Source organism: Homo sapiens, chromosome 9 (genome assembly GCF_000001405.40).
Source record: "Homo sapiens chromosome 9, GRCh38.p14 Primary Assembly".
In the NCBI taxonomy this organism is placed as follows: domain Eukaryota; kingdom Metazoa; phylum Chordata; class Mammalia; order Primates; family Hominidae; genus Homo; species Homo sapiens.
Window position 1 is genome coordinate 94,425,689 of NC_000009.12, and position 12,095 is coordinate 94,437,783.

The window sequence follows — 12,095 nt, forward strand, 5'->3', positions numbered from 1 at the left end:
CTGATTCGTAAACCATAATTTCTAATCTTGTGGCTAATGTTGGTCCTACAAAGGCAGTCTAGTCTCCAGGCAAGAAGGAGGTCTGCTTTGGGAAAGGGCTATTACTGTCTTTGTTTTAAAAAACTATAAACTAAGTTTCTCCCAAAGTTCATGCTATGCCCAGGAATGAACAAGGACAGCTTGGAGGTTAGAAGTAAGATGGAGTCGGTTAAGTTAGATCTTTCACTGTCTCAGTCATAATTTTGCAAAGGCTGTTTCAAGTTTACAGTCAGGCTGTAGCCAGTTTTCCACCTGTAGTCTAGATACCTGTGGTTACTAAGAGTGTAGTTCTTCAGCCCAGGTGGAAAGCCTTATTCCCTAAAATTTAATGCAGGGACTGGTTATAGGCCCTCTTGCTCTGTGAAAGTGTGGATATTCTAGAGTACTGAAGTACTCTATAGGATTATGTGGTCATAGGACTTTGTGCACTTTTGGCAGCCATAAGAGATCTGGGGCACCGTCCTTTTTGAATCTCATTCCGTTCAATCCTGCAAGTATCCCACTTAGAAGTCCCACAGTTTTCAGAGAACTGTGCTTGTGATTGTTATCCTGGTGCCATATCTGTAGGTCAGCAGCTTTGAGAGGAAGACACCAGGGAGCTTACTTTGTGACCTTTTAGTACCCTTTCATTTATGGCTATTTTTTCCTACTCCTCTGATTTGGGAGGTTTCTTTCTGGGTTCTGGAAAATGAACTTCTTCAAGGTCTTCTCTTTCATCTTCAAGTGCTACTTTTCTTCAGCTCTTTTTTTGTTGTCAGTCTTTTCTCATCTGTTCTGTATCATCCAGAAGCGCCTTATGATTCTTGGCTTTCTAGGAATGCTGTAAATTTAATTTCATGTTTTTTCTGTTATATCTGTGGAAGTGGAGAAACACAGCTCTGTGTATGTTTATTACATGTAGATATTTCTAAGCTTTGTTGTACTGGAAGACAGTTCATTTCTTAAAACTTTATAGTTATTGTTTTAAAAGTGATAAGCAAGTGTCATTTTTTTCTTTTAAAATGTTTCCTATTTTTTTCAGGCAAATGCCATTTTATTTTATGTTTACTGTAGTCCTTCTCAAGAATACTTAAAGGGGATATTTTCCTTGAGTTATTTTTATTTATTTATTTAGATAGATAGATAGATACAAGGTCTTGCTCTGTTGCCCAGGCTAGAGTGCAGTGGTGCAATCATAGCTCACTGCAGACTTGATCTTCCGGGCTCAAGGCAATCTTCCCACTTCAGCTTCCTCAGTAGCTAGGATTACAGGTGTATGCCACTGTGCCTGGCTAAGCTTGAGATTTTTTTTCATACAGAGATGTTAAAAATGAAAGCTTTGATCTTCTCTGAGATATTTAATACACCTTTTATTATTAGGTTTACTTTATTCTGATAACATTTGTTGCCTTTTGTAGCTAAATTATTTACATACTTTATTTTGGTTTTTAAACTTTATCATAAGCCTGAGTAGAATATATGTTTTATTTACAACTGCTTTATTTTATGAAGGTTAGCCTTTTAAAATTATTATTGACTTGTTTTACTTTTTTCTTTAGTAAGATTTCACTGTTTCCTTTTTTGGGGGAGGGTAGGTAGAAAACAGTAGAAAAGTTTTTAAAAGCATGGATTGAACATTTTTAGAGGAATTGCCTGCATGGTAGCTTGATTGCTCAGAAATGGGCCCATATGGTCAGAAATTACATGAGATCTATTTAGTGTGCAACTCATTAAGTATGTATTTTGTCATTCATCCATAGATACGGTTTTGCCAAATTAAAATGATGATCTCTTATTCCTAAACTGCATCACCTGTACAAAGGGAATGCAGGTTTGCATCATTTTCCATGTAGAATTCTAGCAGTGGTCTGAGGTTGAGAGGGTGAGGTTTGAGGTGGGGGCAGGGAAGGATCAGCACTGCTGCTCCTTTGACAGCATGAGAGAACCCTGGAGGTGTTGGTGCAGTGTTGACCAGCACTCACTCCACCCTGTATTTCCCACTGAAAGAAACTAAGAGGAAGCCTGTGGGGAAAGGGAGTCAGAGGAATGTCCATAGTCTCTTATCTCTGATCTGATAGAGTATAGAAGGGAGAATGTGGGACTGAGAGACAATGGGTTAATAATGGACATGATCAGGCCGGGAGCAGTGGCTCACGCCTGTAATCCCAACACTTTGGGAGGCCAAGGTGGATGGATCACAAGGTCAGGAGTTCAAGACCAGCCTGGCCAATATGGTGAAACTCCACCTCTACCAAAAATACAAAAATTAGCTGGGCATGGTGGCAGGTTCCTGTAGTCCCAGCTACTCGGGAGGATGAGGCAAGGAGAATCGCTTGAACCTGAGAGGCGGGGGTTGCAGTGAGCTGAGATTGTACCACTGCACTCCAGCCTGGCGAAGAGTGAGACTCCATCTCCAAAAAAAAAAAAAAGTTGACATGATCCGATAAGCATTTTTTAAAAATACGTTTTTGTTTTGCATTTTACCATGTTTTTGTGATGCATGTGACAAATCAAGTTATTCAACAGTTCTAGTCTTTATATTCTTTAAAGAAAATGTCTGTATCTCTGTGACTTACATTTATTATTTTTGGAAGATTTTTTCTTATAACTTTGGTATTTCACTTGAAATATTTGGTGTCCTTCATTTGCTTTTCTTTTTCTTCAGTACAGGCAGGTAGAGTTCAAATGTCAGTAGCTGAGATGACAAACTTTTTCTAAACCTTAAAAATAATGTTGTTAGAGGAAAGGTTGGAAATAATTTGTGAGTAGATTTTAATTTCCGTTTTTTAAAGACTTAATTTTTTAAAGAGTCATTTAAGGTTCACAGCAAAATTGAGAGGAAGGTACAGAGATTTCCCCTGTATCCCTTCCCTACATATGCATACCCCCCCCCCTTTTTTTTTTTTACTATGGACATTCCTTTCTAAAGGGGTACATTTGTTTTATTTGATGAACTTACATTGACATACTGTTATCACCCAAATTCTGTAGTTTAGGTTTCACTCTTGGTATTCTATATGCTGAGTTTTGATAAATACATAATGCATGTATCCACCATCATAGTATCATACAAAGCATTTTCATTGCCCTAAAAATCCCCTGTGCTCTGCCTATTCATCCCTCCCTCCTTCACAGTCCCTGGCCACCACTGATCTTTTTATCGTTTCCATAGTTTTACCTTTTCCAGAATGTCATATACTTGGAATTATACAATACAATATGTAGCCTTTTCAGATTGGTTTGTTTCACTTAACTATGTGCATTTGAGGTTCCTCCATGTTTTTTAGTGGCTTGGTAGCTCATTTCTTTTTAGTGATAGTCTGGATGTACCACAGTTTGTTTGTTTATTTTTTTGAATTTTGTTGATATTTTATAATTTTTCATTGCAGGGCTCATTTATGTAGCATGCCATTAAAAGAGGCAGAAAATTTTTCCTTTAACTTAAATTTGAATTTGTCTTGATGTTTGTTTGCTTTTTGTAGGTTCTACATGAAACATTTTCTCAACACACATTCCTCATGAATGGTCTCATTCAAGGTGTAAAGGTAAGAAAAAATTTTTATGTGGTTTGTAATGAACCAAAGTCAGGAATCCTTGGTAGTTTAACTCTGGAAGTTTTAGTGGGACTTTGGGAAACAAATACTATTTGTTCTGGAGGCTGAAATCTAAATTTTTAGCTGGGTTATTAAAAGTCACTTTAAAATACAACACAAATACATAAGGCATAGAATGGTTTACTGGCAAATAGCAGTGTGAATACTCTATAGGCCTAACTTCATTTTTATTATTGTGTACACAAAAGGGCTTAATTATTATGTAACTTTTAACTTCTCTGCCTATCAACAGAATAAAGTGGGCAATTGCTACCATCATCTTTTTAGGTATACTAAAAAGAAGTATATCTGAGGAAGAAGGAAGCCGAGCTGGTAACACTGGCCATGGCTTTGTAATAACTCAGCCACTTGATTTAATTAGTCTTAATTCATTATGTCGATTTTAATATGATATATATAAAAACGGCTTTAAACCGTTTTCCTGTTTGCACCGAGAATACTCGCCAGCGGTGCTGCATTTACTCCAAGATAACTTTGCCACAAAACATGTTGCTTTTATTATTATTTTTGCATTGCTTTAGTATATAGACTTTGGAAACAAAAGACATCATTCTATTGATAGCATTCTTTTTCCTCATTCTTTATTTTATTTTTTTTTTTTTTGAGATGGAGTCTCGCTCTGTCACCAGGCTGGAGTGCAGTGTGGTGAGATCTCGGCTCACTGCAGCATCCGCCTCCCGGGTTCAAGCAATTCTCCTGCCTCAGCCTCCCGAGTAGCTGGGACTAGGCATGCACCACCACGCCCAGCTGATTTTTGTATTTTTAGTAGAGACAGGATTTCACCATGTTGGTCAGGATGGTCTCGATCTCTTGACCTCGTGATCTGCCTGCCTTGGCCTCCCAAAGTGCTGGGATTACAGGCGTGAACCACCGCGCCTGACTGTTCCTCATTCTTTTAAATAATTTTTTTTTTTTTTTTTGAGATGGAGTCTCGCTCTGTTGCCCAGGCTGGAGTGCAGTGGTGTGATCTCAGCCTACTGCAACCTCCACCTCCCGGGTTCGAGTGATTCTCCTGCCTTAGTCTTCTGAGTAGCTGGGATTTCAGGTGCCCACCACTACGCTCAGCTAATTTTTGTAATTTTAGTAGAGATGGGGTTTCACCATGTTGGCCAGGCTGGTCTCGAACTGCTGACCTCAAGTGATCTGCCCGCCTTGGCCTCCCACAGTCTTGCAATCACAGGCATGAGCCACTGCGCCTGGCCTGTATTCTGTTTTTAGTAGTGGTGTTTCCAGTTACAAACTACAGTAACACTCTATCACTGAAAATGTCAAGTCCTAGAAAACGCAGCACTTCTACCTGTGATGTTAACATTGTTCTCGAACAGTTACCGGCTGAAGATTCATTTGATGAATCCAGTTTTTTGAAATAGACAATTCTGATGATTCAGGTGATTCTGATGTTAGTTCTGTTTAGAAATAACTCCAAGAACACTTTTTATATTTTATTTTCACATTGAAAAATCAATCATATTTGCTTCAGCCTCAAAGAGTATGTGTATGTAAAATCATATGAATGCTGGCAGTGAGCTGCACTTGTTTTTTCTAAATAGGAAAAGAGTTAAATAGGAGTTTAAAGTATAATAGTATTTTTTAGTCTCTTATAGTAAAGCATATGAGTATAGGGTCTAATTTGTGCTTTCCAGTTTAGATAATGTCAATCTATGCATAATTATACGTTGTACTGAACAACATACTTAAAATTATTCCCAAGGCTGCACGCGGTGGCTCACGCCTGTAATCCCAGCACTTTGGGAGGCCAAGGCAGGCGGATCACGAGATCAGGAGATCGAGACCATCCTGGCTTAACATGGTGAAACTCCATCTCTACCAAAAATACAAAAAATTAGCTGGTCGTGGTGGCGGGCCCCTGTAGTCCCAGCTACTGGGGAGGCTGAGGAAAGAGAATCACTTGAACCTGGGAGATGGAGGTTGCAGTGAGCTGAGATTGTGCCACTGCACTCCAGCCTGGGCGACGGAGCGAGACTCCGTCTCAAAAAAAAAAAAAAAATTATGCCCTAGTAATGTGCTGAATTTAGCCATTGTAGTTCGTTATTTTCATAGCTCTTAAAAAACATTCATATAATAAATAATGTTAAATATTAATAAATCATATTTATTATTTGCCTGTTTTCAAAAATAATTTGAGGATATTTATATGTAAAACGGCATTTTATTTATTTTTTATCATTTGGGTACTTTTTTTTTTATAGCTGTATGTCTTTTTACTAAAGAAAAGCCAAGTTAAAATGCCCAACAGTAATTATGTTGAACACTTAGTACACATAAATAGACCAAAGGCTACTGAGAACACTGGACTTAGATAAAAGTGTTATAGGTATAACTACAACTTAATTTATGAATAAATAAGAAAAAAGTCCCTGGCTGAAAAGGATAGTGGAGATTTATTTCTCAATATTCTTTAATTTGGACCACCCCCACCAACTGAGCCGACGTCCCAGCGTTAGATCAAAATGACTGCTCTCCCCACCAGCAATTACAGTATTTGACACCACTAGCTCCACTGGTTCAGAGGAGAGAGTGTTTGGCCCGTGGCTCTACCTGGTTCCAGCTTCAGGAGGCCAACCCATGCCTTTGGTCACCTGAGACTTTTTAAACAGCATTGGCACTTGTAGCTGGTCTGAACCATTTTGAATGCTACCACCCAGCAGAGAGGAGGCTCTCATTAGATTCTACATCTGCTATTTAAATTACTTTTCAATTAAAAAAATAAACTTATTAGAATAATGCCACCTAGGAATGTTGTTAATCTCTCCGTTCAGCTTTTGGCTGATATATGAGACTACAAATATTAAATATAGCCTTTCCCACAGGTGCAGCTTCTGGGGATTGGTCTACAGTGTTCAGAAAGACACATTGCATTAAAAAAAAGTCAGGCTAGGTCAGACGCAGTGGCTCACGCCTGTAATCCCAGCACTTTGGGAGGCCGAGGTGGGCTGATCACCTGAGGTTGGGAGTTTGAGACCAGCCTGACCAACATGGAGAAACCCTGTCTCTACTAAAAATGCAAAATTAGCCGGTTGTGGTGGTGCATGCCTGTAACCCCAGCTACTTGGGAGGCTGAGGCAGGAGAATTGCTTGAACCTGGGAGACGGAGGTTGCAGTGAGCCGAGATCGTGCCATTGCACTCCAGCCTGGGCAACAAGAACGAAACTCCGTCTCAGAAAAAAGAAAAAAAAGTCAGACTACTGCAGGAGCTCCAGTGGCTTCTGCAAATGAGGGCTTGGCAATTATCAGTGGACGGACACAGAGTGTCCAGCACCAGGCCATGGGCCTTCCTGCTTCCTGAGTTTCACAAGTAGGATGCACATGAGGGGTGCAACCCATACCTCTGTTGAAGGAAGGCTGTAGTACTTTCCAGGACACAGCCTGGACGAATGATGCCAAACTTTCTATGCACAGATAAGTCAACCACAGTTGAGCCAAGGTAACACTCAGGGATCTGGCTATCCCTAGTTTGTCCCCCATCAATGACCAAGGACAACTGAGGCCAGAGGTCTTATAACTCCATGGCATTCAGAGAACTGTCCTGGGAGCTGAGGTTGGCACTAGTGAGAGCAAGAGGATGCTCATACATCTTGGCCAAGTCTTGCATAAAGGCATAATCAGGAATCCGGATACCTTGTAAGAGGAGTAAAGGGGTTTAGGTCGTTGTTGAGCTCCTCTGAACGTTCCATCACCAGGGACACTGGTCCTGGCACTAGGTCTTTCAGGAGCTCCTGGGGTGCTACTCTCATACAGCCAGTAACTTGGCCTTCCTGCAGCCCTTGAGACGGTACACAATGCGCAGGGCCACTGAGCAGCTTGCCGTGCAGGCCAGGCCATGTGGCATATTGGTGGGATGGCTACCATGGTGCTGGTGTACAGCTCAGCCATGGCTGAACACTCTGGGCTTGCCCCCTCGCTCTGTCCCACACTGGCAGCCACTGTGGCCCTCGGATCCCCCTGGACTGACTACAAATAACAAATACAGCCTTTCCCACAGGTGCAGCTTCTGGGGCTTGGTCTACAGTGTTCAGAAGGACACATTGCGTAAAAAAAAGGTCAGGGTAGGTCGGGCACGGTGGCTCATGCCTGTAATCCCAGCACTTTGGGAGGCCGAGGTGGGCGGATCACCTGAGGTTGGGAGTTTGAGACCAGCCTGACCAACATCGAGAAACCCTGTCTTTACTAAAAATGCAAAATTAGCTGGGTGTGCCAGAGACATCCTCCCATTTGGGTACTTTTTATTATTTAACAAACACTGGATACATAAACAAGTGAAACACAACCTAGACACGATTTACAGACTTTCTGTTTCCAGTTAAAACAGAGAACTATGACTAAAGTATTAGTAGCATACAGAGTTTATGCATAAGTACATTTCTAAATAAAATTCCCAATTTGCCACTCTTTTGTTTGGAATAATCCTCACAAAACCATTAGAATCCTAAAGTAAAAATACATTTATTACTTACATCAGAAACAACGAATTCAGAATGGAAAGTAGTTAAAAATCTGAAATGTTTTTTCTCATAAACTTGGAAAGAAACAATGAATTCAAAATGGAAAGTAGTTAAAAATCTGAAATGATTTTTCTCATAAACTTGGAAAGAACTACCTTCTACTTCCATAAATACATTATGCTTTATAACAATGTATTGTGTTGCCACATACAACAGACCTTTATGAACTGCTAATACAACTTTTCAGTCTCACTCTGAACAATTCTAGATTGTTGAGAAACCTTTTGTTGCTGTTGTTGAAGTATATTCTACAAATATAAAAGAAAAAATTGTGAAATAACAATTAGGGTAAAATTTTAAATTTAGCAAAAAATATTCTACATTAAACTTAAATAGTTTTAAAATCAATACTTTAAAAATTTTGTTTTTAACAACTATTATGACCAAATTTAGGTAATTTGTGTTTACCACTAATGTGCAACAATATAATCCTACCAGTGGCTGAATAGGAAATTTTAGCAATATTCAAGACTTGTCTTTTTTATTTTTTGAGACGGAGTCCCACCCTGTCACCTAGGCTGGGGTGCAGTGGTGCGATCTCAGCTTGCTGCAACTCCCCGCTGTCCGGGTTCAAGTGATTCTCCTGCCTCAGACTCCCAAGTAGCTGAGATTACAGGCACACACCACCACACCTGGCTAATTTTTGTATTTTTAGTAGAGACGGGGTTTCACCATGTTCGCCAGGCTGGTCTCAAACTCTTGACCTCGTGATCCTCCCGCCTCAGCCTCCCAAAGTGCTGGGATTACAGGCGTGAGCCACTGTGTCCAGCAAAGACCTGTCTTATTTCTTGGTGGTTTCAATATCCACACAGATTATCCTTCCAATAATAGTGGTCTTTCATTTCCTTGATCTATTTCACTCCACCCTGTTAGCCATTCACTTATAATAACTCTAACCATTACACAGTATTAATAATGGCAAACTTTCTAAGAGATAGGTACTCATTATTCCCTTTCATAGGTAAGTAAATTGAGAGAGAAAGATAAATAATTTGCCCATTGTTTCACAGCTGCAATTGCTCAAACCAGAATTTTATCCCAAAAAGTATTGCTTCCAGCATCCAAACTCTAACTATTATACATACTGTTTCTCTGTATATCCTAGTATTCAACCACTACCTCCTTACCATTCTAGCTTACTCTATTTTTTACTACAGCTCAGTATATCAGCACTGAAAACCCATCCTACCTGCCTTTCACTGTCACCCCTGCCCCTGTATCCTCACTTTCATCTTTCTTGGCTTAAATTCTGTGGTCAATCATTATAATTACTGCTTTGCATATAAAGCGTGCCCTCTTTTTACTCTGTCACACTTGGTTGGCTAAACCCCAACGCTTGAAAATTTAATTCTCCAGCTACTCTGTAGGCAATACCTTTTCCACCATCTAATGACCTTAACTGTGTCACTAAATAAATAGAAGCAATGCAAAGAGAAATTTCAGTCTCCCATCACCACATCTACTATCCACCTACATGCATCTGTTCTCGTATACTCTACCTCCTCTCCTGTTTCTAAGGATGAACTGTCCTTGTTCCTTGCTAAAGCCAGCTTCTTCACATATCTCATCCATTCTCAAGAATTCAGCAGTTATGCCTTTTTTCCCCAGTGTTTTAAATTTTCCCTCTAAATTATTCCTACCAGCATACAAGCATTCTAGTTCTCCAATCTAAAAACAAAACCTCTTTTCCTTTTCTCCTCAGGCTACTACCCCATTTCTTTCTTTGCCATGCTATCTTACATTCATTACAAGTAGACTTCCACACTCACTTTTCCACCAGAATTATTCCGAACCTTTTTCCTTCTTCTTTTTTTTTTTTTTTTTTTTTGAGATGGAGTTTTGCTCTTGTTGCCCAGGCTGGAGTGCAATGGCACGATCTCGGCTCACTGCAACCTCCGCCTCCTGGGTTCAAGCGATTCTCCTGCCTTAGCCTCCCGAGTAGCTGGGATTAGAGGTGCGCACCACCATGCCTGGCTAATTTTGTATTTTTAGTAGAGACGGGGTTTCACCATGGCCAGGCTGGTCTTGAACTCCTGACCTCAGGTGATCCGCCCGCCTCAACCTCCCAGAGTGCTGGGATTACAGGCGTGAGCCACCATACCTGGCCCCTTTTTCATTCTTAAAAGGCTTTCTTTACTTGCTTTCTTCACTTGACCTAGCATAGTTTTCTTTCTACCTGTTAGGCCACTCATTCTCAGTCTTCTTATACTCTAATTCATCTCTAGATGACTTATAATACCTAATACTGTGTAAATAGTTGTTACACTGTATTTTTTAATTTGTATTTTTTATTGTTGTGTTCTTATTTTTAATTGTTTTCTTCCAAATATTTTTCATCCATGATTGGATGAATCTACAGATACGGAGCCTCCATATACAGAGGGTTGGCTGTGTAGAGATTTAAACTAGTTGCATGGACAATGGGCAAATGATCCAAACTAGATCAGTGATATTTCTCCAGAGGAATTTTCTGCTAGAGGTATTGAGATTTTCTCAGTCTACTGGGGTTACTTAACTTGTAGTAAGCCTACGATTGCAAAAACTGTCCTGCTTACTACATTGAGACACCTTACTAAGAATTGGTGAGAGAACCCAGATGACACTGTATGAACAACTCCTTCCCTGTGTCCATCTAGCTATGCCTGAAGCTAAACTTACCCACAGCTTCTTTTATATAAAGTATTAATAATAATCCTTCTTTTGTACGAGGAAGCTCTCTTCTTTCATTTGCCTATTAAACTTTCCCCTCCTTCACCCACCCATGTGTGCCCATGTCCTTAATCTTCTTGGTGCAAGATGATGAACTGCAGGTATTTCCCCAGACAATGAAGCTGCTTCACTTTGAGTCCCTCCTCTTATCAGTTTACCTATGTCTGCTGTCCTGGGTTAATCAGTTGGTGGCTGATAGGGGATTGGAATCTGTTCCTTTTTCTTTCCAATTATGTGAACGTGGAGACTTCTGTAAGTTGATTTTCTCTGAAAAGTTCTATTCAATTCACCAAACGTATTTGAAAACCAGTGTTTACCAGGCCCTGTGATAGGCACCACGGGTACAGAGATAAGAAGAAATGTCATCCTTCTGACCTTAATCTCAATTTTGAATCCAGTAGAGAAGATAGACAAATAACAAGTGATTTAATGGAGTGCTGAAATTATAATAGAAGAGCTAAGAGACTAGATAGAGGAGGAGGTGCTTCTCTCCCAGGGTTGGGAAGAATCACTAGCAGTTTCCAGGCTCCAAGTGTGGGATGGATGTGCGTGCAAAGGCCTGTTGGCACGCAGGAACATTGTATGTCCAGAAAACTGGAAGTATCGCATGCAGCCACAGCAGAGGATGTGTGTCAGGAGCCGGGTTTTGGAGTGTCCTATTTATGTGATGTGCTGAGGAATTTTTAAGATGTATCATGAAAATTCAGATACACAAAAGAATAGTGTGATGAATACCTGTGTACTCATCACCTATTTCATTATTCATCAGCATTTTTCTACTCTTGTCCATCCCTGCTCTCCCCACCCTGCTGCTTATCTGTAGCATTGAAATGAAGGTGGCCAGCCAACAGAGTGACTGGCAAATAGTGGGCAAGCAGTGAATGTGAGTTCCTTGACTTCCTTTGCTTCTGTGTGGTGTTATCTATGTCAGACTCTCTTCCCCTTAGTTTCAACTGTAGTTGTTGTTCAGGTTGGATTATCTCCTTCTTCCTAAACTCATCAGGCAGAGAGAACTTTACTTTGATCGACAAAGTTGACAAAGAATCTAGTTTTCTTTTGATCATTAAGCATATGTACACTCCTCTTCTTTATCCCTGTGAGGCCCTGGGGATAGTATATGGTGTACATTCATTTGGGTGTCATTGTACCAGTTAATGCAGTTTTGTGCAGAATTGATATGCCATATATATTTATTAAAGTGATTCAAATTTCTAGCTTCTTCCCGTATGCT

At 40.1% G+C, this 12,095-nt stretch overlaps 1 protein-coding gene and 1 pseudogene across 4 annotated transcripts in view; one reads left to right on the plus strand and one right to left on the minus strand.

Annotated features, from left to right (window-relative positions):
- The window catches only part of SLC71A2 (solute carrier family 71 member 2), an 86,626-nt gene that overhangs the window by 51,272 nt on the left and 23,259 nt on the right, over positions 1-12,095 (plus strand). For all 4 annotated transcript variants that reach the window (XM_017015218.2, NM_032558.3, XM_017015219.3 and 1 more), the window contains exon 3: positions 3,501-3,563. In XM_017015218.2, coding sequence (XP_016870707.1) covers positions 3,501-3,563 — 63 coding nt within the window. The remainder of the gene's footprint in view (positions 1-3,500; positions 3,564-12,095) is intronic.
- Positions 6,826-7,605, minus strand: YRDCP1 (yrdC N(6)-threonylcarbamoyltransferase domain containing pseudogene 1; annotated as a pseudogene).